The sequence below is a fragment of the Homo sapiens genome, chromosome X (assembly GCF_000001405.40).
Source record: "Homo sapiens chromosome X, GRCh38.p14 Primary Assembly".
Taxonomy (NCBI): Eukaryota; Metazoa; Chordata; class Mammalia; order Primates; family Hominidae; genus Homo; species Homo sapiens.
In genome coordinates, this window is record NC_000023.11 from 46,489,072 (window position 1) to 46,515,390 (window position 26,319).

A 26,319-nucleotide genomic window follows, 5' to 3' on the forward strand; every position below is an offset into this window, starting at 1 on the left:
GGCTGAGGAAAAGGCAGAGAAACTGAGGAAAAGGCAGAAAACTGTGACAACTGCAGGGGGTCACGGGATCGGCACACCACCAAGACGGCACGCACCAAGGCCCAACCACCCCAAACAGTGACGATAACATAATTCCTTGCCGGGACCAGCTCCCAGAATGTTGAACCAACATGATCCCATACTTTTACATATACGGTTCCTTTTTCAGGAAACCAAGGACAGTATTTTTCCACTGCCCTGAATAGAGTGACCATATTTTCCATGGTTACTCGGACCCTTCCCTGTTTCAACAGGTCTACATCTAAGGTTCCTTTTTCAGGAGACCAAGGACAGAATTTTACCACTGCCCTGAATAGAGTGACCATATTTCCCATGGGCACTTGAACCTTTTTCTGTTTTAACCGGAGTTTAATATAGAAGAGATAAGTATAATTTTTATACTCCGTGTGACCCATAGTTAACCGGGACCATACACAGACTACTCACCAGTCGTCAGGGAGTCGAACACGTGCATCTGTGGACCCAAACCAATGACATTTCTCCGCACCTACCAAAGGGAATCGGGTTCCCACATGCACTTAGGGAAAAAGAAAGACCATGTGGGCGCCAGATATTGGGCGAAATTCACCCCCGATATTTCACGTAGGTTCTTTTCTATTTTCCCTAAGTGTCGGCCGGTCTGAGAAATAAAGGGACAGAGTACAAAAGAGAGAAATTTTAAAGCTGGGTGTCCGGGGGAGACATCACATGTTGGCAGGTTCCATGATGCCCCCAAGCCATGAAACCAGCAAGTTTTTATTAGTGATTTTCAAAAGGGGAGGGAGTGTACGAATAGGGTGTGGGTCACAGAGATCACATGCTTCACAAGGTAATAAGATATCACAAGGCAAACGGAGGCAGGGCAAGATCACGGGACCACAGGACCGGGGCAAAATTAAAATTGCTAATGAAGTTTTGGGCACACATTGTCATTGATAACATCTTATCAGGAGACAGGGTTTGAGAGCAGACAACCGGTCTGACCAAAATTTATTAGGTGGGAATTTCCTCGTCCTAATAAGCCTGGGAGCGCTACGGGAAACCGGGGCTTATTTCATCCCTCAGCTACAAGCGTAAAAGACAGCCATCCCCAAAGTGGCCATTTCAGAGGCCTCCCCTCAGGGATGCATTCTCTTTCTCAGGGATGTTCCTTGCTGAGAAAAAGAATTCAGTGATAGACCCTCTTCATTGTATCATTCCCTCCACAGTTTGAGTGTCTGGAGAACCTGTGAATACAATAAAATATCACTTCTGTGATTATGTTACTTTAAATGGCCAAAGGCAGATTGTCTGAGTGGGCCTAATGTTTTCACATGAGCTCTTTAAAAGCAGAGAACTTTCTCCTGTTGGGTGGCAAAAGAGGGAGTCACAGATTTGAAGTACAGGAGGGATTAGAACACAAGGGAGATTCTGTTACTGATATGGAGAAGGCTCATAGTAAGGAACTTTGAACAACCTCCAGGATCTGAAAGTAGCCCTTGGCTGACAGCCAGCTAGAATGAGGCCCTCAATTCTACAATCAAAAGAAATAGAATTCAGCCAAGAACCTTAATGAGCATATAAGCAGATTCAACCTCCAGATAAGATCCTAGCCTGGCTTACATCATGATTTCCACCTTGTGAGACAGAACTCGGCTAAGCCCATCTGTAATTCTGACCTACAAAACTATGAATTAATAAATGGGTGTTGTTGGCTGGATGCAGTGGCTCACACCTGTAATCCCAGCACTTTGGGAGGTTGAGGCGGGCGGATCATTTGAGGTCAGTTCAAGACCAGCCTGACTAACATGGTGAAACCCCATCTCTACTAAAAATACAAAAAAATTAGCTAGGCATGGTGGCGTGTGCCTATAGTCCCAGCTACTTGGGAGGCTGAGGCAGGAGAATTGCTTGAACCTGAGAGGCAGAGGTTGCAGTGAGCCAAGATTGTGCCATTGCACTCCAGCCTGGGCAAGAGAGTGAGACTTTGTCTCTAAATAAATAAATAGGTGTTGTTTTAAACCACTAAGTTTTTGGAGGTTTGTTTTGGCAGCAATAGAAAACTAATGCAGAAAACTTAGATGATTTTAATACTGGAATTAGCCAAAAGCACTTTAAATTACCATTAATATAACAGATGTAAAGGAAATGGATTAAAATATGAAGGATTTCAAAATATTTGTAATATCTAAAAATGAATGAAATATTTATGCTACAAACTGAAACAAAATACAGTACCCAGGAACTTACTGTATGGGTTTTAACAGCAGATTGGACACAACAGAAGACAGGATTCATGAACGTGAAGACAAGTCAATAGATTTGTCTCATGGGGAGGGAAAAAATGCAAATAACACAGACAGTGTTAGGCATTTGGGACACAGCCAAAAGGTAAAGCACATATAACTGGGGTCCCAGAGAAGAGAGAAACATTGGAACAGGAATAATATTTGAGACAATGGTTAAAATTGATAAAAATCCAGTGAAAGAGATCAAACTATGGGGTCAAGAAGCTTTGAGAATCCCAATTCAAATAATATACCAAAATTCATTTCCAGCCATGATGGAGTAATCAGGTCCAAACTTACCCACCTGCTATAAACAACTAGAAATAATATATATACACTATATGAGGTAACAGTTTTTGTATATTGAACAAAGGCAGCACAGGATTATAAAGCTGAGAAAAGGAAAACAAATGAGGTGAGCTCTATGATTGCCCTGGCTTCCTGCCTGGAGGTACTTTGCAAAATGTGATACAGGGACGGGGGTTTGAAGAAGAACATGATGGTTCACAGAGTTAAGAGGTCAGTACTCAGGAAGTCCAAAGCTACTGGAAGTTTCAGCAGAAAAGGGAGTTGTTGACAAGAGAGAATAAGAGAAATCTGCATGAGGTCCCCTTGGGTTTGTAACTGAATATTAAGCTGTGTATAGTGGAACTCCACAAGGCAAGGGAAAGAGCAGTTGGGGAGCTGTAAGCTGAAGAGTTTCCAGAGGTCACACAGGGATGGAATGTGTGAGTTCTAGCAAGTCAGAGTGGAGAGTTCTTGTCAATCACCCCCAGGCAATCAGTGGAGACCCCACGGGAGTCATGTCTTAGTAGTGGGGATAAAATAGCCCTCGAAGGGAATGGGAGAAAATTTTTGCAATCTACCCATTTGACAAAGGTCTAATATCCAGAATTTACTAGGAACTTAAACAAATTTACAAGAAAAAAAAAACCATCAAAAAGTGGGCAAAGGATATGAACAGACAGTTCTCAAAAGAAGACATTTACGTGGCCAACAAACATAGGAAAAAAAGCCCAACATCACTGACCATTAGAGAAATGCAAATCAAAACCACAATGAGATACCATCTCAGGCCAGCCAGAATGGTTATTATTAAAAAGTCAAGAACAATAGATGCTGGTAAGGCTGTGGAGAAATAGGAATGCTTTTACACTGTTGGTGGGAACGTGAATTAGTTCAACCACTGTGGAAGACAGTGTGGCGATTCCTCAAGGATCTAGAACCAGAAATACCATTTGACCCAGCGATCCCATTACAGGGTATATACCCACAAGAATATAAAGCATTCTACTATAAAGACACATGTACACATATGTTTACTGCAGCACTAGTTACAATAGGAAAGTCATGGAACCAACTCAAATGCCCATCAATGATAGACCAGATAAAGAAAACATGGTACATATACACCATGGAATACTATGCAGCCATAAAAAGGAATGAGATCATGTCCTTTGCAGGGACATGGATGAAGCTGGAAGCCATCATCTTCAGCAAACTAACACAGGAACAGAAAACCAAACACTGCATGTTCTCACTCATAAGTGGGAGCTGAACAATGAGAACACAGGGACACAGGGAGGGGAACAACACACACCAGGGCCTGGTGGGAGGGAACTTAGAGGACGGGTGCAGCAAACCACCATGGCACACGCATACCCATGTAACAAACCTGCATGTTCTGCACATGTATCCTGGAACTTAAAGTAATAAATAAATAAATTAATTAATTAATAAAAATATCCCCAGAGGGAAGGATACCATTAAACTTACCCTAACAAAGGTACAAATTAGTCTTGAAAGAATGAAGCATCTTAACCACTTGCTAGAATGAAGTCCAACATTCTTTAAAGGAATACAACAAAATCTAGCATTCAACAATGTAAATTTATTATGTAAATTTATTTAATATCCAATCAGATATTAAGATGTGAAGATATAGGAAATGTGATGCCTAGCTAAGAAAAAAATCAGATAATGAAAATAGACCAAGAAATTACAAATATGGTGGACTTTTAAAAATCTATTAAAATATTAGAACTATTCTTGAAGATTGAAAGGAAAGGTGAGGAATGGAAGATAACTTCATGTCAGAAATGATGCAACCCAAAACACAGAGGAATGAAAGCTTTAAAAGGCAGAAAGAAAAAACAAAATTGTTGATATTGAATTCAAAACCCAGAAAAAATATTCAAAAATGAAGGCAGGCCAGACACAGTGGCTCACACCTGTAATCACAGCACTTTGGGAGGATTTAAAGAAGGATTGCTTGAGTGAAGGAATTCAAGACTAGCCTGGGCAACACAGTGAGACCCCATATCTACAAAAAATTTAAAAAGTAGCTGGGTGTGGTGGTGCATCCCTGTAGTCCCAGCTATTCAGGAGGCTGAGGTGGGAGGATTGCTTGAGCCCAGGAGTTCAAAACCAGCCTGGGCAACATAGGGAGACTGTTTCTACAAAAAATTAAAATATTAGCCAGGCGTAGTGGTGCATGCTTGTAGTCCCAGCTACTTGGGAGGCTGATGTGGGAGGATTGCTTGAGCCCAGGAGGTCAAGGTTGCAGTAAGCCATGGTTGCACCACTGCACTCCAGCCTGGGCAGCAAAGTGAGATGCTGTCTTAAGAAAAAGAAATAAACCATGATCATCTCAATGGTTGCAGGAAAATCACTTGGAAAGTTAATATATATTCATGAAAGAAAATAAACACCTCTCAGTAAACTAGGAATAGAAGGGAAATTCCTCAGTCTGTTAAACAGCAGCTACAAAAAGCCACAGCCAACATCATATTAAATAGTGAAACCCTGAACGCTTACTCTCAAGCTCATTAATTCTATTATTTAAAAAAAATTTTTTTAGAAACAGGGGGTCCTGCTTTGTTGACCAGGCTTGAGTATAGTGGCATGATCACTGTAGCCTCCAATTCCTGGGCCTAAGCGATCCTCCCACCTCAGCCTCCCAAGTAGCTGGGTCTCTCTCTGTGGTGTGTGTGTGTGTGTGTGTGTGTGTGTGTGTGTGTGTGTAGAGACGGGTTCTCACTTTGTTGCCCAGGCTAAGCTGGGAATGTGTGTGTGTGTGTGTGTCTGTGTGTGTCTGTGTGTGTGTGTGTGTCTGTGTGTGTCTGTGTGTAGAGATGGGTTCTCACTTTGTTGCCCAGGCTGAGTCTCAAACTCCTTGCCTCAAGTGATCCTCCTGCCTTGGCCTCCCAAAGTGCTGGGTTTACAGGCATGAGCTACCATGCCCAGCCTCAAGCTCATTAATTCTTTTCTCAGTTGTATCAATTCTGCTGATAAGCCTGGCATTCCTAAGAGTTAAATTGATGGGTACCCAAAAGGTCAGCTATTTAATATTACAATCAGAAAAAGGAAAGATTCAAAGAGCAGGTGTCTGAGGACAACTACCTCAGTAAAATATGAGTGTTCCTTGCTCAGTTCCCAGACCTGAGCCAATCTTCAGATCTAGAACCATTTGTCTACAGAGTTGTCCATGTGCCTCAGAGGAAGAACCTTAGTTTTATGGCAGGCATAGATTATAATGCTTACCCTAGTCTCTCCCCAAAGTAACCTATGGCCATTTATTTGGGTGACTATACACTTGGGAAAGGAAATACCAAGAAATTTTTAGGACTATCAGAAACAGCTTTCAAAGTTGACATCAATACACAGACACTGAAACCATCATCATGGCCCTCCTATCATGTGGGGACTTAATGGGTCCAGGCAATAATGGTGTCCTGGCCAAGATGGTAAATTTAAAACAATATTGCACTCTAGGGGATGATAGTGTCACCATTAAAGACCTAAATGATGGAGTGGTGGTTACTATTATATTTCTGTTTAATTAATCATTCTGGCCTTTTCAAAAACCAGATAGATCCTACAGAATGACTGTAGACTATCGCAAGCTCAACGAGACCAAGTTTAATTTTGCAAAAGAGAAGTACAGCCCATGTTAAGCCTCCTTGGGATCTAAAGGTAACATATCACACGTCTAGAAGTGCTTCTCTGGCCCATATACCAAGTGATACAGAAGGCTGCCAGCTTTGAGTGGGGCCTAGAGCAGGAAAGGCTCTACAGTACACAGTCTTGGTACACACAGCCTTGTTGCTTAGATCATATGATCTGGCAGACTTTGGGGTGGAGGTGTCAGGGGTGGAAAAAATGAAGTGGGAGAGCATCCCTGGGATTTTGGAGCAAGGCCATTAAATCTGCAACAGAGAATTATACTACTTTTGAGAAACCACTCCTTGTGTTAGGCGCCATAAACCTCATTTTGTCATGCTGCTCCAGTCCATTTACTGACTAACCCACAAAATTGCCAATTTTCACTGTGGCCCAGAGCAAGAATAACTTTTAAACAGACCTGATCTGTCATGCACACTGTCTCTTGGGCCATATGACCTAGCATATCATATGGAGCTGACATGTCTGTGCCAGATGGAAATGTTGTATGACACCCTTGGAAAGTCCCTGTGTGTCACAGTACAATCCATTAGGATTTGGAAGCTGTATTAATCCATTTTCATGCTGCTGATAAAGACAGACCCGAGACTGAGCAATTTACAAAACAAAGAGGTTTAATGGACTTACAGTTCCATGTGGCTGGGGAGGCCTCACAATCATAGTGGAAGGCAAGGAGGACCAAGTCACATCTTACATGGATGGCAGCAGGCAAAGAGAGAGAGCTTGTGCAGGGAAACTCCCATTTTTAAAACCATCAGATCTTGTGAGACTTATTCACTATCACGAGAATAGCACGAGAAAGACTGGCCCCATGATATAATTACCTCCCACTGGGTCCCTCCCACAACACATGGGAATTGTGGGAGATACAATTTGAGGTGAGATTTGGGTGGGGACACAGCCAAAGCATATCAGAAGCAAAGCAATATCATCCTCTGCAGATAACTTTTCTATAGAGAAGTTTCTAGCTTGCTATGGAGCCAGTACCTTTTCTCTAATCCAGTCCCACCCCTCAAAGTTAATAACTATCCAGAATTGTAATGCCAAAGAAAAGGGAAGTTCCATAAATTAGATGGTATATTTGAGACCCTAGACAAACAAGAAAATAAACTCCAGGAAAATTTTTAAATAAGCATAAATGATTATTGAAAATAATTCACATTTTCTTATGAATGTTATATATTTCCTTGACCATATTATTCAATTATTTTAGAATCCATGATTCATAGCTTTTATATCTGAAAGGCCTGTGGGCCTGCTTCTATTGTCCACTTTTTTCTTCTGACTCTGGGTATACCTGGCAATTTTTGATTGAATGCCATTGTGCATAAGAAATTGTAGAAGCTCTAGATGAGCTTTTGTTTCTTTTGTTTGTTTAGAGACAGTGTCTTGCTCTGTTGGCCAGGCTGGAGTACAGTGGCACAATCATAGTTCACTGCAGCCTTGAACTCCTGGGCTCAAACAATCCTCCCACCTCAGCCTCCTGAGTAAATGGGACTACAGGTGTGAGCCACCACACCTGGCTACTTTTTTATTTATTGTAGAGACAACGTTTCACTATATTGTGAGGCTGGTTTCGAATTCCTGGCCTCAAGTAATTCTCCCACCTTGGCCTCCCAAAGTGCTGGGATTACAGGCATAAGCCACCACACACAGCCAAGCTTTAGTTTCTGAAGGTAATTATAGCAGGAGCAAATTACCTGAATTCAGTTAGTGAGCTCATTCAAGGTGTGGTATCAATCTTAAGATCTGGTCTATGTTTACTCCTTCCTAATTCCTAGGTACAGTCCTTCAGAGATTCCAGCTGAAAGCCTGTGGTATTTAACAAGGCCCATCATCACTGGTGGAATCTGAACTTCAAGTCTGATTTCCTTGGCACATAATTTTCTACTAAAAGCTCTGCACCTGGCTGCTGTGAATTTCCAAATCTATCCCAAGTCCCTGTGTGTCACAGTACAATCCATTAGGATTTGGAAGCTGTATTAATCCATTTTCATGCTGCTGATAAAGACAGACCCGAGACTGAGCAATTTACAAAACAAAGAGGTTTAATGGACTTACAGTTCCATGTGGCTGGGGAGGCCTCACAATCATAGTGGAAGGCAAGGAGGACCAAGTCACATCTTACATGATCTTGCTGTCTCAGTGGTGGCACATATGGAAGAAAATCCACATATAAGTGGACATACACAGTTCAAACCCATGTTGTTCAAGGGTCAACTATGTACACACTCAAACCTGTAAACTCAATCATATGGAAAACAAATAGGCAATATGTATACATATGTGAAAATGGGGTCATTTTAAGAAGAGAATGATGTTACATATTAAAGACAAAGCTGAGTGGCAAAATGGATGGGAAAAGAAAATAAGCATGCGTAATATACACTTTAAACGATATACTTTATTGGTGATTTCTGGAGACTACAATCAAAAAAATTTTTACACATCAATAATCCCCACATTCAAATGCCAATTTACTTAATAATTTGGTGTATTTCTTTCCTAGCTTTTTCCCTCCACACTACACAGATATACCTAACTTTTTGTTCCATGTGTTTATCTATACACACACACTCACCTATGAAATAGGTGAATACAAATTTATACTTAAATAAATACAAATTTATACTTATATGTGCATATAACTTTACTCATCACAAAATTTTTATATGTCAACCACCCAGAATCACTGATATAATGGTTCATATACTTCCTGTTTGTACAATATTAATCATATGGTTATTGTTTTATAATATTTTTTACCTAATGATTTACCACGAACATTTTCCCAAATTTGCCAGTAGTCTTAATTGGTGCATGTTATTTCACCTGACATACCAATTTTTAATCATCTATCATTGGATATTAAATTGTCTTATTTTTTCACTACTTTAAATAATACTGCTGTTATGGAAGATACTCTGAAAATTTTAAATCTTATATTGCTTCACCATAAAATTATTACTCTTTATTAAAACATGGAGAATTTTAAGTTCTAAGCACTGTTCCTAAGGAAAGTATGTAAAAGCTTACTATGTGCCCTTTCTGTAATGGCTTTGCATTTTTGCACTGAAGATATTGATGAATAATATACGTAAGGTCTCCTGTTTGAGATCTTTGTTTCAGGGATCCTGATGACTCATCCTCTCTTACCCTATTTCAGGAAGCATTTTTTCTATTTGTTTAGGAAAATAATCTGGGAGTTTGCCCCACATGGGATATTTTATGCTTTATACTGTTCTTTTAAAAATGTCATACTCACTGAGCGTGGTGGCTCTCGCCTATAATCCCAGCACTTTGGGAGGCTGAGGCGGGCGGATTACCTGAGGTCAGGAGTTCGAGACCAGCCTGCCCAACATGGCAAAACTGCGTCTCTACTAAAAAAAAAAAAAAAAAAAAAGAATTAGCCGGGTGTGGTGGTGGGTGCCTGTAATCCCAGCTACTTGGGAGGCTGAGGCAGGAGAATCACTTGAACCTGGAAGGCAGAGGCTGCAGTGAGCCAAGATCGTGCCACTGCACTCCAGCCTGGGCGAGAAGAGCGAAACTCCATCTCTAAATAAATAAATAATCATACTCTACTCCACAGTGAACATATCTTAAATTTATAATTGTTTGCCACCTCTACACCTCTTCCACAAAATGTTTGGTAAAGAACATGGTAAGTGTGGTGGCTCATATCTATAATACAAGTGCTTTGGGAGGCAAAGGTGGGAGGATCAATTAACGCTACGAGTTCAAGACCAGCCTGGGCAACATAGCAAGACCCTGTCTCTATTAATAAAAGAATATAGAGCATGATTCCTCTCATTTATACCATGGGTTTGTTTATTTATTTATTTGACAAGGTCTGGCTATAATGCCCAGGCTGGAGTGCAGTGGCACGATCTCAGTTCACTGCAACCTCTGCCTCCTGGGCTCAAGCCACCCTCCTACTTCAACCTCCTGAGTAGCTGGGACTAAAGGTATGCACCACTACACTCAGATAACTTTTGTATTTTTTGTAGAGACAGAGTTTTGCCATGTTGCCCAGGCTGGTCTCAAACTTGTGAGCTCAAGCAATCTGCCCACCTCAGCCTCCCAAAAGTGCTAGGATTACAGGTGTGAGCTACGTACCACGCCTGGCTACCATGGTTTTATAAGCTCACTAAATTCTTAGTTTTCCTCGGCATACATACTCTGATAAACAGTGCCATTTAAATTATTTCTGAAGGCTTTCCCACATAACTACATTCAGTTTTGCCCCTTTTGAATTATTTGACATACAGTTCTTCACTCCTGGGTGAAGAATTCTGGGTGAAAAAACTGATCACATTTATTGACACCTCTGGAATTATACTTTTGTACTTTGTATTAAGTTAAATGAACATTAACATATGAAGAATTTCCAATATTCTGGACATTTATAAGATTACTCGCCATGATTATTTGACAAATAATGAGACTAGTAATAGTCAAATGACAAATAACTACTAGTATAATTATCCCACTCTCAAGTATAATCATAGGTTTTTATCTCCTGTGTGACTTCTCTGATGTTTAATGAGAGTTGACTTCCCACTGAATGCTTTCCCACAGTCTCTGCATTCATAAGGTTTCTCTCCTGTATGAGTTCTGTGATGCACAATGAGAGTTGATTTCACACTGAAGGCCTTCCCACATTCACTACATTTGTAAGGTTTTTCTCCTGTATGAATTCTCTGATGTTTGATGAGAGTTGACTTCCTACTGAAGGCTTTTTTACAGTCAGTGCATTCATAGGGTCTCTCTCCTGTATGAATTCTCTGATGTTTAATCAGTGGTGACTTCTCACTAAAGGCTTTCCCACATTCGTTGCATTTATAGGGTTTCTCTCCTGTATGCATTCTCTGATGTACAATAAGGGTTGACTTCTCCCCAAAGGCTTTCCCACATCTTCTGCATTCATAAGGTTTCTCTCCTGTATGAGTTCTATGATGGACAGAGAGGTGTGACTTTCCACTGAAAGTCTTCCCACATATACTACATTCATAGGGTTTCTCTCCTGTATGAATTCTCTGATGAACAGAGAGGTGTGACTTTCCTCTGAAGCTTTTCCCACATTTACTACACTCATAAATGTTCTCTTTTGTATGAGTTCTCCAATGTTTAGTGGGACTGGGCTTCTCATCAGAGGCTTTCCCATGTTCACTGCACTGAGGTTTCTCACTTGTGTGAATTCTTTGATATATAAGGCTGGACGTAGTACATTTAATACCTTTATAAAATGCTTGTCTAATGTGTGTTTTTTCATGTCTAATAAGATGATATGAACTCTTAAAGGCTTTTGGACATTTGTCACATACAAATGGTTTCTCTCCTGTATGAGTTCGTTGATGTTTAATCAGAGTTGACTTCTGGATAAAGGTTTTTCCACATTCACTGCATTCATAGGGCTTCTCCCCTGTGTGAGTTCTCTGGTGTGCTATGAGGGTTGACTTCTGGCTGAAGGCTTTTGCACATTCGCAGCATTCATAAGGTTTCTCTCCGGTGTGAGTTCTTTGATGTACAACTAAGTTTGCTTTCTGGATAAACACTTTTCCACATTCAGTACATTTGTAGAGTTTCTCCCCAGTTTGACTTCTCTGACTTTTTCTAAGGGCTTGCTTTTGGTGGAGGGCTTTCCCTCGTTGATTAGGGTCAAAAAATCTCTCTGCAGGTTGAGCTTTATGAAGATTATAATGGAGGCATACTTTCCAATATGCCTTACATCCATCATCTTTCTTTCTTACATAGCTTCTATTTTGACCAAGAAAGTTTAAATGATGTTTTGAACACCTTTCCCATGAATAATATTTAGGGAGTCTTTGTTTTACAGAAACAAAGTCTGTGTTGAGATAAATGATTTTTCTACATATTTTACATTCTTGACCACTTTCATCCTTCAGTGTTTCCTTGCCTATGAATGCAGCTTGCCACAGAAATTTGTCTTGGCTTTCCTTGTAGTGATCTATCTGCTCGTCAACTTCCCAGACTTCTAGAAGAAAATGCAATGAATCATCAAACTTGTCTTCCCACTATAATTTATGAAATAACTAATCCCTAAATGCCCAAGCAGTGAACTCCTATCAACATGACTTGAGCTGATGTGGATGGAGGACCCTTCCCATGTCCCAGGCTCAAAATCAAGAAAAGAAATGTATTAGGTATCAAAATGAAGTGGGAATTTAAAGTGAGAGAGTAAACAGAACAGCTTGAGGATTTGAAGGGGACCATAAGGCACAAATGTTCAGGAATTCAGCAAAGTCAGAGTGTAATTTTGGCTTAAAGCTTATATATATATATACATATAATTGTATATATATGTGTGTGTGTGTGTGTGTGTGTGTATACATATATGAAAGGTTGCCACTGCTATGAACCTACCAATAACAAGACCAACTTTAAAAATTTTTCAGTTTATAGGCTCTGTACTATGCTTGTAATCATTTGGATTGAGTTACAGAATTAGGCTTTTGATGTCTTATATATAACATCCTTCTTGCCAATTTCTCTGGCTAGTGGGGAATCCTTCTAGTTCCTGTTTAACAAGCATGGGAGCCCTTGCAGTTATATATATATATATATACACATACACACACTCATGTCTTTATAGCTGAAGACATCACAGAACTTCTAGGGAAAACCAACTCTCATTGAGGAGTTCACAGTAGAAAATTTAAAACCTGGCTGGGCGCGGTGGCTCACGCCTGTAATCCCAGCACTTTGGGAGGCCGAGGTGGGTGGATCACGAGGTCAGGAGTTCAAGACCAGACTGGCCAACATGGTGAAACCCTGTCTCTACTAAAAATACAAAAATTAGCTGGGCGTGGTGGCAGGTGCCTGTAATCCCAGCTATTCAGGAGGCTGAGGCAGGAGAATTGCTTGAAGCTGGGAGGCGGAGGTTGCAGTGAGCTGAGATCCCACCACTGCACCCCAGCCTAGGTGACAGAGCAAGACTCCGTCTCAAAAAAAAAAAAAGAAAAGAAAATTTAAAACCTTAGAAGGAGCTGATCCATCATTAGAAAGAATTGACCGATACATTTAAATATACTCACATTCCTAGAACTGTAGATAATAGAACAATCTGTACTTTAAAATAAGTATATTTCAAATGTACAAAGATAAGGTAAGAACTAGACTATGAAGGAAATAGCAGGAAATTTTGAAAAAAGACAGATGAGTATTTTTAAGGTAGGCATTATTTAAAAAAAAAACTCTAAATAGGTTGAACAGTAGACTAGCCACAGATAAGACAGATTTAATAAATTAGATGACAGATCTTGGGAAATCACTTAGTCTCTAATAGGCTTCCCTTGGCATAAACATCACACATGTTGGTGCATCTTTGATACTGGAGTTAGAGTGTGCTCTGTGTTCATGATAGGCAGACAGCATAAGGAAGTTAGAGTGTGCTCTGTATTCATGACAGGCAGACAGCATAAGGAAGCCTGCACATGGATGCCTCCAGATTCTGCCTGTGCCTTTTTCCCTTATAATCCAGTTGTTTATCATTACTACATCACTGTAATAAATCTTACCCATGATTACAACTATATGCTGAGTTCCATGAATTTCTCTAGAGAATATCTGAGTATGGGAGTCGTCTTGGGGACCCCTGATCTAGGCAGTATTTGAAGATACAATGACTGATTCTTTTCTAAAATGGAAGAAAGGCATGTATCCTACCACTGAATGTCCAAAGTCCTTGAGTGTGGAAAATAAACAAGTCTGCACTTAGACAAAGTTCAGTGTAGCCACAAGGCTTTCAAGTCAGAAAGAAAATATTGTAAGCTACCATGAATAAGTAAAAATATCCCCTATAAAGAAATAATTATATCAACATCAGACTTCTTCAAAAAAGAAGGCAGAAGATTAAAGAATAATATCTTCTCTGTCCCGAGACAAGCTTTCATCTTAGAACTCTATACCCAGATAAATTATCATAAAGAAAGATGACAAAGACATTTTTGGACAAGAAAAGACAAAGAATTTGCCATACACAAAACCTGGCTAAGAATAATGCTTGATACTTCAGTAATTCAGAAAGATAATGACTAAAGAGGAAAAAGCGGGTAAGGAAAATCCAGCAAAGGCAAGAAAAAAGAAGTAATGAAAAGCAGGCTATGTAGAAAATATACTAAAAGAAGAAATACAAATATAGTAATTTCACAATAACTATATATTAACCCTATTAGTTAAATGCCAACCATATCAAATTGCATTTTAAAAAAATCAGCTCCATGTTTTCAGAAGACAATTAGGGCAAAATGACAGAGATGTGTTGAAAATAAAATTACGGGAAAAGCTACATCTGGCACTTAGTAACCAAAATAAAATTGGCAAGATAATGCTTATATGCCAAAAGCAAAGAAGGATAAAAGACGAGAATATTATAAAGCAATTTTCACTTACAAAGATGTGAAACTCTTAAATATACATGGCAAATTGATTCCACTTATGACGGATAAGAGGTAATACATTTAGTATTATTGAAAATATACAGCCTGGGCAACATGGCAAAACCCGTCTCCACAAAAAAATACAAAAAATTAGCTGGGCATGGTGGCGCACACCTATAGTCCCAGCTACTTAGGAGGCTGAGGCAAGAGGACTGCTTGAGCCCAGGAGGTCAAGGTTGCAGTGAGCCATGTACACAACACTACACTCTAGCCTGGGTGACAAAGTAAGACCCTGTCTCAAAAAAAAAATACACACATGTGCACACATGCACACATATACACACATACACACACATGCCTTACTACCTATTCCACTTGTAGTTCATACCATAGGGAAATTATGGCAAATTTTAACATGTACAAGAATGACAACAAAATTTTAGAAACCACCAAATATCCACCAATAAAGGTATGGAAAGTGAACTATGACACTCATATTTCCGCTAGCACAGCAGTTAAAATAAATGATCTAAATCTAAAGTATCAGCATAAAGCTCAAAAGGTAATACTGAACACAGAAAGCAAGTTGCAGAAAGATCCCTATAATTTTTTTTTTTTTTGAGATGGAGTCTCGCTGTTGTCACCCAGGCTGGAGTACAGTAGCGTGATCTTGGCTCACTGCAACCTCTGCCTCCTGGGTTCAAGCAATTCTCCTGCCTCAGCCCCCTGAGTAGCTGGGATTACAGGCACCTGCTACCACGCCTGGCTAATTTTTGTATTTTTAGTAGAGACGGGATTTCACCATGTTGGCCAGGCTGGTCTCAAACACCTGACCTCATGCGATCCACCCGCCTCGGCCCCGCAAAGTGCTGGGATTACAGGCGTGAGCTACCGTGCCTGGCCAAGATTCCTATAATTTGAGTGTAACAATCTGGTAATTTTACAAAAAGAATTCTGTATTGATTACAGGTACAAATATATGTAGCAAAAGTATAAAAACATAGTTTAGAAGGATACTCACAAAATTCATGATACTGTTTACCTGGGGAGGAGATAAGAGGAATAGGCCTCAGGAGGGGAAAAATGGGACTTCAACTTTATTTGTAAACCTCTGTTTCTTTTCTTTTCTTTTTATTTTTTTAATTTTATTTATTTATTTATTTATTTTGAGATGGAGTCTCCCTCTGTCGCCCAGGCTGGAGTGCAGTGGTGGGATCTCGGCTCACTGCAACCTCCGCCTCCCGAGTTCAAGAGATTCTCCTACCTCAGCCTCCTGAGTAGCTGGGATTACAGGTGCACACCACCACACCTGGCTAATTTTTGTATTTTTAGTAGAGACGGGGTTTCACCGTTTTGGTCAGGCTTGTCTTGAACTCCTGACCTTGTGATATGACCGCCTCGGCCTCCCAAAGTGCTGGGATTACAGGCGTGAGCCACCGTGCCTGGCCTGTTTCTTTTATTTTTAAAAAAATGACAAAATGTTAATATTTGCTAATACTGGGAAGGAAGTACAAGAGTGTTTGTTAAAATTATGATTTTCTGTACTTTTTTGCAGTTTTAAAAGAAAGGCTTTTAGGCTGGACTTCTGAAATGACAGAGTGAGAGGAAGGACCTCAGTAAATCCTCTTCCCCCAAAAAGTAATGAAAATACTGGCAAAATCAAAAATTATCAAAATCAATCATTTCACGACTTTAGAAATTAACCAAAGGCAAACAATCAATTAAAAATCATTTATTCAAGAAAAACTATGCCAGACGTGGTGACTCATGCCTATAATCCCAGCGCTTTGGGGGGCCGAGGCGGATGTATCACCTGAGGTCAGGAGTTCAGGACCAGCCTGGCCAACATGGTGAAACCCTGTCTCTACTAAAAATACAAAAATTAGCAAGGCATGATGACAGGCGCCTATAATCCGAGCTACTTAGGAGGCTGAGGCAGGAAAACCGCTTGAACCTGGGACACAGAGGTTGTAGTGAGCCAAGATTGTGCCATTGCACTCTAGCCTGGGCTAAAAGAGCAAAACTCTGTCACACACACACACACACACACACACACGAAAAAAAAAACTAGTAAACCTCACTAAGAACAGCCAGGTCATGGTTCACTTGGCACTACTACTACTCTTCCTGCTCTCCCACTGGCTCCCCAGCTCCATGAAAACTGGTAGCCTCACAGCTACCCAAGGGGATGAACTGTTTTGGAGCTCTACCAAAAGCCCTATCCCCAGACAGCTGTTGCTATTTGATCTAACTTAAAGCTCAGCTCCAAGAAAATAAAGGACACTCTATGGTAACTCAAATCCACACAAAGAAATAAAGAGCACCAGTAAAGGTAACCTGTAGGAAAGTGTTAACACAGCAGAACTGATCTTTAGAAGGACCTGCTCACAGGGCTGGCTCCTGGCTAAAGTCTGGGAACTTGGCTTGTGAAATATTCCCTATGTTGATATGATGGTTTTGCCTGCCTAGGGCACTGAACACCTGTTTTTCTTCTGGGAGTCTGGATGCCCGAACACTAGAGGCTGATGATTTTCTGGTATGATGTGCCTATTTTTAGTGGGTCAAACTGGACTTGCCCACAGACAAAGTGAAAGGAGCTTAACAAAAAAGGCCTAGCTTGCCACTTGGATGTGCAGTGCAGCTGTCTGGCCCTGTAGCATCTTGGCTTTGCATGGGAAAAAAAAAAAAAAAACTATCCCTGTGGGGATTTATTTCCTATCAGGCACCCAGAACTACTGGTGGCAGTGATCCCATATGGGGATATGTCAGAGCACCTGAGATAAAGGGGGTAAAATCTTATAAGCTGAAACAGAGAAAAAAATTATATCAAGTATCAATAATCAGAATAGCTTTACACTGAAAATTAGATGACAATGGAGCAATGCCTTCAAAAGTCTAAGGGAAAGACATTTCCATCCTAGAACTCTACTTCAAGCCAAACTCTCCATTAGGAGTCAAACACTTGTAGACATCCAAAAATCTCAAAACTTCATCTCCCATGGACCTACATCCTTTCTTACGAAAGTACTTGAAGACTGTGCTCCAACCAATGAGGAAGGGGGCATGGCATAAAGAAAATATGGAACCCAGCAATGCAGAGGGTGAAGGGAATCCCCAGAGTGACACTGAAGAGCAATGTCAGGATGGTAGCTGTACAAGAAGGAATGAGGGTAATCCACCCAGATGAGAGCAGGTCAGAAGGCTCTAGAAAAACTCAGGGATATGACACTGAGGAAACCCTTGATATCTCCAGAAGCGCTCAGAGTCACTCTAGACAACTGGTGATAAGTATATGGAGAAAGAAACAAATGAAAGAAACAAAACAAGCCAGGAGAAGTGGTTCACTCCTGTAATCCCAGCACTTTGGGAGGCTGAGGCAAGAGAATGACTTGAGTCCAGGAGTTTGAGACCAGCCTAGACTCTCAGTCCAGTGAGACCCCGTCTCTATGAAAAACTTAAAAAATTAGCTGAGTGTGGTAGTGCACAGCTATAGTCCCAGCTACTCGGGAGCCTGAGGTGGGAAGATCGCTTGAGCCCAGGAGTTTGTAGCTGCAGGCTGCAGTAAGCCAAGACCATACCACTGCACTCCAGCCTGGGCAACACAGCAAGATTCTGTCTCAAAAAAAATAATTATTAACCAAAGGAACACAGTTATGCAGGGAAGGTAAATTAATCATAGATTACTATGTGGCTTGGCTGTGTATAGTATTTATATATACAGTTAGCCCTCTGTATCCATGGGTTTTACGTCTGTGGATTCAACCAACCAAGGATCAAAACCCACAAATACGGAGGGCCAATTATACCATGCCATTTTATATCAGGGATTTGAGTATCAATGGATTCTGGTATCCATGGAGGTTCTGGAACAAATCCCTTGCAGATACAGAGAGCTAACTGTATAGTCATATTGTAAAAAATAGTACTGATGGAAAACAAATTTATGGTATAATCACATTGGGACTATTGGGAAACAAGAAGTCTATGTACATACGCATGCCTTTGGGTGGGTGACAGGAGCAGCGTGGTGAGTTCAATCTTAACCTTCCACAGTGAAACATTTCAAATAAGTTTTGTAAAATATATGTAAGTTATAAAGAATAGTAATACCAAAAATAATACCTGGGTATCCACCACCCATTAAAACTAATTATAGTTATCTTTGAAGTTCTTCATATGCCCGTTTCATTTTCTTTCTTTTCAGATAATCAATATCCTAAATTTTATGTTTATCATGCCCTTCACTTTCTTTACAGTTTCACCACATTTATTTTATTCTTTAAACCTCAGGCATGACCTACGTTAATAAAACTAAGAGTTTTTTTTTTTAAATCAAGAGAATACTGCCTTAGGTTGGTAAATCGGACATCTCAGATGAAACATAATGGTCTAGAAAAATGACCAGAATTGACAGAAAATACAAGAAGCTTGAATAATTCAATAATTGTTTTTTTAAATGATAAAAACTGACTCCATAATCAAGTCTTGCCATATCCAGATGGTTTTGAAAATGACTAGTATCAAACTCTCATGAAACTAAATTTCAGTCACAGTTTCAAAAATTACAAGAAGGAAAAGTACTCAGTTTATTTTATGCAGCTAGTATAACCTTGGATACCAGAATAAGAGAAGAAAGTACAAAAAAAGAAAATCTAAGATCTATTTTACTTCTAAACATTAATGCAAAATTCATAGGTTAAATACTAGTAAAATCAATTCTAAATTAATTTTTTAAAGTAGTTTTTTTCCAATTCTGTGAAGAAAGTCATTGGTAGCTTGATGGGGATGGCATTGAATCTATAAATTACCTTGGGCAGTATGGCCATTTTCACGATATTGATTCTTCCTACCCATGAGCATGGAATGTTCTTCCATTTGTTTGTATCCTCTTTTATCTCATTGAGCAGTGGTTTGTAGTTCTCCTTGAAGAGGTCCTTCACGTCCCTTGTAAGTTGGATTCCTAGGTATTTTATTCTCTTTGAAGCAATTGTGAATGGGAGTTCACTCGTGATTTGGTTCTCTGTTTGTCTGTTATTGGTGTATAAGAATGCTTGTGATTTTTGTACATTGATTTTGTATCCTGAGACTTTGCTGAAGTTGCTTATCAGCTTAAGGAGATTTTGGGCTGAGACAATGGGGTTTTCTAGATATACAATCATGTCATCTGCAAACAGGGACAATTTGACTTACCAAAACAGAGATATAGATCAATGGAACAGAACAGAGCCCTCAGAAATAATGCCGCATATCGACAACTATCTGATCTTTGACAAACCTGAGAAAAACAAGCAATGGGGAAAGGATTCCCTATTTAATAAATGGTGCTGGGAAAACTGCCTAGCCATATGTAGAAAGCTGAAACTGGATCCCTTCCTTACACCTTATACAAAAATTAATTCAAGATGGATTAAAGACTTAAATGTTAGACCTAAAACCATAAAAACCCTAGAAGAAAACCTAGGCATTACCATTCAGGACATAGGCATGGGCAAGGACTTCATGTCTAAAACACCAAAAGCAATGGCAACAAAAGCCAAAATTGACAAATGGGATCTAATTAAACTAAAGAGCTTCTGCACAGCAAAAGAAACTACCATCAGAGTGAACAGGAAACCTACAAAATGGGAGAACATTTTCGCAACCTACCCATCTGACAAAGGGCTAATATCCAGAATCTACAATGAATTCAAACAAATTTACAAGAAAAAAACAAACAACCCCATCAAAAAGTGGGCGAAGGACATGAACAGACACTTCTCAAAAGAAGACATTTATGCAGCCAAAAAACACATGAAAAAATGCTCACCATCACTGGCCATCAGAGAAATGCAAATCAAAACCACAATGAGATACCATCTCACACCAGTTAGAATGGCAATCATTAAAAAGTCAGGAAACAACAGATGCTGGAGAGGATGTGGAGAAATAGGAACACTTTTACACTGTTGGTGGGACTGTAAACTAGTTCAACCATTGTGGAAGTCAGTGTGGCGATTCCTCAGGGATCTAGAACTAGAAATACCATTTGACCCAGCCATCCCATTACTGGGTATATACCCAAAGGACTATAAATCATGCTGCTATAAAGACACATGCACACGTATGTTTATTGCGTCATTATTCACAATAGCAAAGACTTGGAACCAACGCAAATGTCCAACAACGATAGACTGGATTAAGAAAATGTGGCACATATACACCATGGAATACTATGCAGCCATAAAAAACGATGAGTTCATGTCCTTTGTAGGGACATGGATGAAACTGGAAATCATCATTGTCAGTAAACTATCACAAGAACAAAAAACCAAACACCGCATGTTCTCACTCATAGGTGGGAATTGAACAATGAGAACACATGGACACAGGAAGGGGAACATCACACTCTGGGGACTGTTGTGGGGTGGGGGGAGGGGGGAGGGATAGCATTGGGAGATATACCTAATGCTAAATGACGAGTTGATGGGTGCAGCACACCAGCATGGCACATGTATACATATGTAACTAACCTGCACATTGTGCACATGTACCCTAAAACTTAAAGTATAATAATTAAAAAATAATAAATTTATTAATTTTTTAAAATGCTTCACAATTAAGTAGAGTTTAGCACAGGAACACAAGAACACTTCAATATCAGAAATTTATTCACGTAATCTACCACATTAATAGATTAAAGGAGGAAAAACTGTCTTCTCAACATATGCAGAAAATAAGCATTCAAGAAAATACAACACTCATTAGTGATTTTTTAAAAAGTCTTATTAGGCCGGGTGTGGTGGCTCACGCCTGTAATCCCAGCATTTTGGGAGGCCGAAGTGGGTGGATCACCTGAGGCCAGGAGTTCAAGACCAGCCTGGCCAACACGGTGAAACCCCATCTCTACTAAAAAATATAAAAAATTAGCCAGGCATGGTGGTGGATGCCTATAATCCCAGATACTTGGGAGGCTGAGGCAGGAGAATTGCTTGAACCCAGGAGGCGGAGGTTGCAGTGAGCCGAGATCGTGCCATTGCACTCCAGCCCGGGTAACAGAGCGAGACTCTGTCTCAAAACAAAAACAAAAACAAAACAAAACAAAAGTCTTATTAACAAAATAGGACTAATAAAAGGGGCTCTTGATGAAAGATATCTTTCAAAATACCACAGCAGATATCATATTTAATAGTGAAAGCTATAGAAGTTACATCATTTCTGTGCCTCAGTTTTTTTCATATATAAAACAGGGATAACAACCAGCCTACTTTACAGGGTCATTGGGAGGATTCAACTATTTAATATGTGCAAAGCATACAGAACAATGCATTTGTGGCACATGGCAAGCATTCAAATGCTGCTTATTATTTTATTACAATCATTGTCTTCATGATTATTTCCACTAAAATCAGAAACAAAGAATGCAATATCATTGTATCTATTAAACATTGTACTACAGGTCCTAATTCATTGAGAGAAGAAAAAGAAATAAAATGTATAATTGGAAAAGACAATTGCCTTTATAAAGATAATTATTCACATAGAAGACCGAAGAGAATTAAAAAAGATTAGTATTAATAAAAGCCTTCAGAAAGATTTCTGTACACATGATTTTATGAATATCACTAGCATTCTCATATACTAATATTAACCAATTAGAAGATGTGATAGGAAAGAAGATCCCAATCACAAATGCAACAATAACTCAGAGGTATCTAGGAAGAAATTCAACAAAAAATGCACAAGATCTTCCTGAGAAAAAATTTGAAACATTATTAAATGACATAAAAGGATAACTGAGTAAGAGTTCACTGAAAGGAAAATTCAATAGTATAAAGATGCCAATTCCCAACCCACTCCCAACTCATTTCTAAACACATGCAATTGCAATTGGAATCCCAGAGTTTTCCTTGGAACTCAACAAACGAATCCTAAAATTCCTATGGGAGACCAAAGGATCAAAAGAGATAAGGGGACTAAAGCCTATTAGCTCTTAACAGCATTAATTGATAAGAATGGTACAACAGGCCGGGCGCAATGGCTCATGCCTATAATCCCAGCACTTTGGGAGGCCGAGGCAGGTGGATCACCTGAGGTCGGAGTTCAAGACCGGCCTAGCCAAGATGGCGAAACCCTGTCTCTACTAAAAATACAAAAATTTGCTGGGCAGGGTGGTATGTGCCTGTAATCCCAGCTACTCAGGAGGCTGAGACAGGAGAATTGGTTGAACCCAAGAGGTGGAGGCTGCAATAAGCCAAGATAACACCATTGCACTCCAGCCTGGGCAACAAGAGTGAAACTCCATCTCAAAAAAAAAAAAAAAGGGTGCTTGCCTGGGCACAGCAGAGCAACTGGGTTTTGGCCGGGCGCCACAGTGGCTCACGCCTGTAATCCCAGCACTTTGGGAGGCCGAGGCGGGAGGATCACCTGAGGTTAGGTGTTTGAGACCAGCCTGGCCAACAAGGTGAAACCCCATCTCTACTAAAAATACACAAAATTAGCCGGCCGTGGTGGCACATGCCTGTAATCCCAGCTACGCAGGAGGCTGAGGCAGGAGAATCATCTGAACCTGGGAGGTGGCAGTTGCGGTGAGCCGAGATCACGCCATTGCACTCCAGCCTGGGTCTCTAAATAAATAAGTACATAAATTCCAGGCAGGTTTTAAGAAAATAAACAGCAAATATTTAAATTTTTAAAAAATTATATAAAAATATTTTTATGTGCTCAGCCCCCCAAAAAAAATACTTAAAATTACACAAAAAGGGTCGGGCATGGTGGCTCATGCCTGTAATCCCAGCACTTTGGGAGGCCGAGGCAGGAGGATAACCTGAGGTCAGGAGTTCGAGTTCAGCCTGGCCAACATGGTGAAACCCCATCTCTAACAAAAATATAAAAAAAATTAGTTGGGCATGGTGGCACATGCCTGTAGTCCCAGCTACTCAGGAGGCTGAGGCAAGAGAATCACTTGAACCCGGGAGGCAGAGGTTGCAGTGAGCCGAGATGGCACCACTGCACTCCAGCCTGGGTGACAGAGTGAGACTCCATCTCACAAAAAAAAAAAAAATTACACAAAAAGCAAACTAAAAATTGATACATTTGATTATTTTACAATTAAAACTTCTACTCAAAAAGACACCATAAACAACCTAGACTAAGGAAAGATATTGACTATACACAAAATTGAAATCTAGAATATACAAAGAATTCATATAAAGCAATAAGAAGAGACAAACTCAACAAAAACATGAATAAAGAATATGAACAGGTGGCTGGGCACAGTGGCTCATGTCTGTAATCCCAGCACTTTGGGAGGCCGAGGCAGGCAGATCACGAGGTCAAGAGATCGAGACCATCCTGGCCAACATGGCGAAACTCTGTCTCTACTAAAAATACAAAAATTAGCTGGGCGTGGTGGCACACACCTGTAGTCTCAGCTACTCAGGAGGCTGAGGCAGGAGAATCACTTGAACCCGGGAGGCAGAGGTTGCAGTGATCTGACATCGCGCCACTGCACTCCAGCCTGGCAACGAGTGAGACTACGTCTCAAAAAAAAAACAAAAACAAAAACAAAAAAAGAATATGAACAGGTAAGCCACAGAAGAGGAAATCTAACTAGTCAATAACATATGAAATGATAAATACTTTCAATAGTAATCAGGGAAGTGAAAATTACAATAATATACCAATTTACCCTTGCCATATTACCAAAATTCAAAATCTATAATTCTGTGTGTGTGTGTACACGAGTCTAAATCACACACTATCTGTAACATTAATTTTGCCACATAAGGTCATAGAGCTTTGCATTTTAACATTGATGATTCCTATTCAAAAGCTGAATTCCATACATTTCACGAAGCTGTATCTGCCCACCTGGCTGCAATCCATGCTTTTAGGGGATTAATTTGACATGATGTTAAAACCAGCTCTTTTTATTTCAAAGACTGGTAATAAAATACTATCAAGTATTTTCCCAGTCCGCAGGCCTTTACGGGACTCAAAAGGAATAGGTCAAAACCACTTAATGTCCTTTATCTCTAACATACCCTTTAAAAGCATAAGAGTGTTGGCCGGGTGTGGTGGCTCACATCTGTCATCCCAGCACTTTGGGAAGTGGAGGCAGGCAGATCACTTGAGTCCAGGAGTTCAAGAGCAGCCTGGGCAATATGGCAAAACCCTGTCTCTACCAAACAAACAAACTTAGCCAGGTGTCGTGGCATGTGCCTGTAGTCTCAGCTATTCTGAAGGCTGAGGCAGAAGGATCAATTGGGCCCAGGAGGTTGAGGCTGCAATGAGCCAAGATGGCGCCATTGCTCTCCAGCCTAGGCAACAGAGAGAGACCCTCTCTCAAAAAATTTTAAAAAGAAGAAAAACAAAGTATAAGAGTGTTAAGGTTAAAGACGCTAAGGAAAATAATTTCTTTAGAGATAGCCATTGGAAAGCTGCGGCATTTTCTCTCTCCAATAGGTGAGTGAGGAGTGTGTTCACCCCACCCCAATCTGATGAGAAGGATTTCAAAGAGATGACCTGTTCGATGTACATCCACTAGACTTTAGGGGACACAGAGAACTTGGCACCTGTCTTTCATGTAGAAAAACTATAAATGACAGGCTGAGGCAGTCTGTGGTAGTAGAGAAGAGGTTGCGTGGGGGTGAACTGTGGGTCTTACTCCCACAATCACACACACTCCACAAGCCAGATGTGGACCCTCTGGACATGAACAGGCTGGGTTACTTTAGAAAGAGGGCTTTTTGCTAGCATCAAGGTGACCTCAGCAAAAGGAGACTGAAGGTACACCATGGGGCCCGGGGATATATTAAATAACTGGTTGGGAAAGTGGCCCTTCCTGCATCAAGGAAATTGCAGTCAGGGGACTCCAGCTAGGACATCTCCAAGGAAACCATAAAGTGTCAAGAACAGGAAGAATCAGTCTTTGGAATCTGCAACATAGAGAGGGCATCAGTATTAGATTACAACTTTGTTAGTTAGGTCAAACTTTTTTTGCCCATTGTATCTCCTTCCTTCCTTCCTCACCCACTACACTCAAGGGCCAGAGATGGCCTAGGTGTTGAGTGGGGGAGAAAGGGAAGGGAGAAGAGCTAGCTGGAAGAGTAAAGAAAGAAAACACTGAGCATGTTCTTTTTGCCACTAAAATCTTTCAGCCTGAAGCAGGTATTTGCTGGGAGAGAGCTTTTCCTTTAAATGAACTTTATTGTTTTCAATACTATATGTGATTAGACTTACTTTAAAACTAAAATAAGACTACCACTGACCCTCAGAAATTGAAAGGATAAGGGAATATTAAGAACAACTTTATACTAATAAATTTGACAGACGAAACTGATAAACTCCTTGAAAGACACAAATTATTGGCTAGGCGTGATGGTGCATGCGTATAATCCCAACACTCTGGGAGGCCTAAGTGGGCGGATCACATGAGGTCACGAGTTCAAGACTAGCCTGGCCAACATGGCAAAACCCCATCTCTACTAAAAATACAAAAATTAGCCAGGCATGGTGGTGTACGCCTGTAATCCCAGCTACTCGGGAGGCTGAGACACGAGAATCACTTGAACCTGGGAGGCAGAGATTGCAGTGAGCTGAGTTGGTGCCATTGCATCCTAGCCTGGGTGACAGAGCGAGACTCTCTCAAAAAAAAAAAAAAAAGGAGAAAA

General features: G+C 40.3%; 1 protein-coding gene across 4 annotated transcripts in view; it reads right to left on the reverse strand.

Moving 5' to 3' along the window:
* Positions 8,654 to 26,319, reverse strand: part of ZNF674 (zinc finger protein 674) — a 47,697-nt gene continuing 30,031 nt past the window's right edge. For 2 of the 4 annotated variants that reach the window (NM_001146291.2, XM_011543943.4), the window contains exon 6: positions 8,654 to 12,261. In NM_001146291.2, coding sequence (NP_001139763.1) covers positions 10,772 to 12,261 — 1,490 coding nt within the window. In that variant the 3' untranslated portion in view covers positions 8,654 to 10,771. Of the gene's footprint in view, positions 12,265 to 26,319 lie in introns of all 4 variants that reach the window. The other 2 variants (NM_001190417.2, NM_001039891.3) reach the window with 1 other exon arrangement.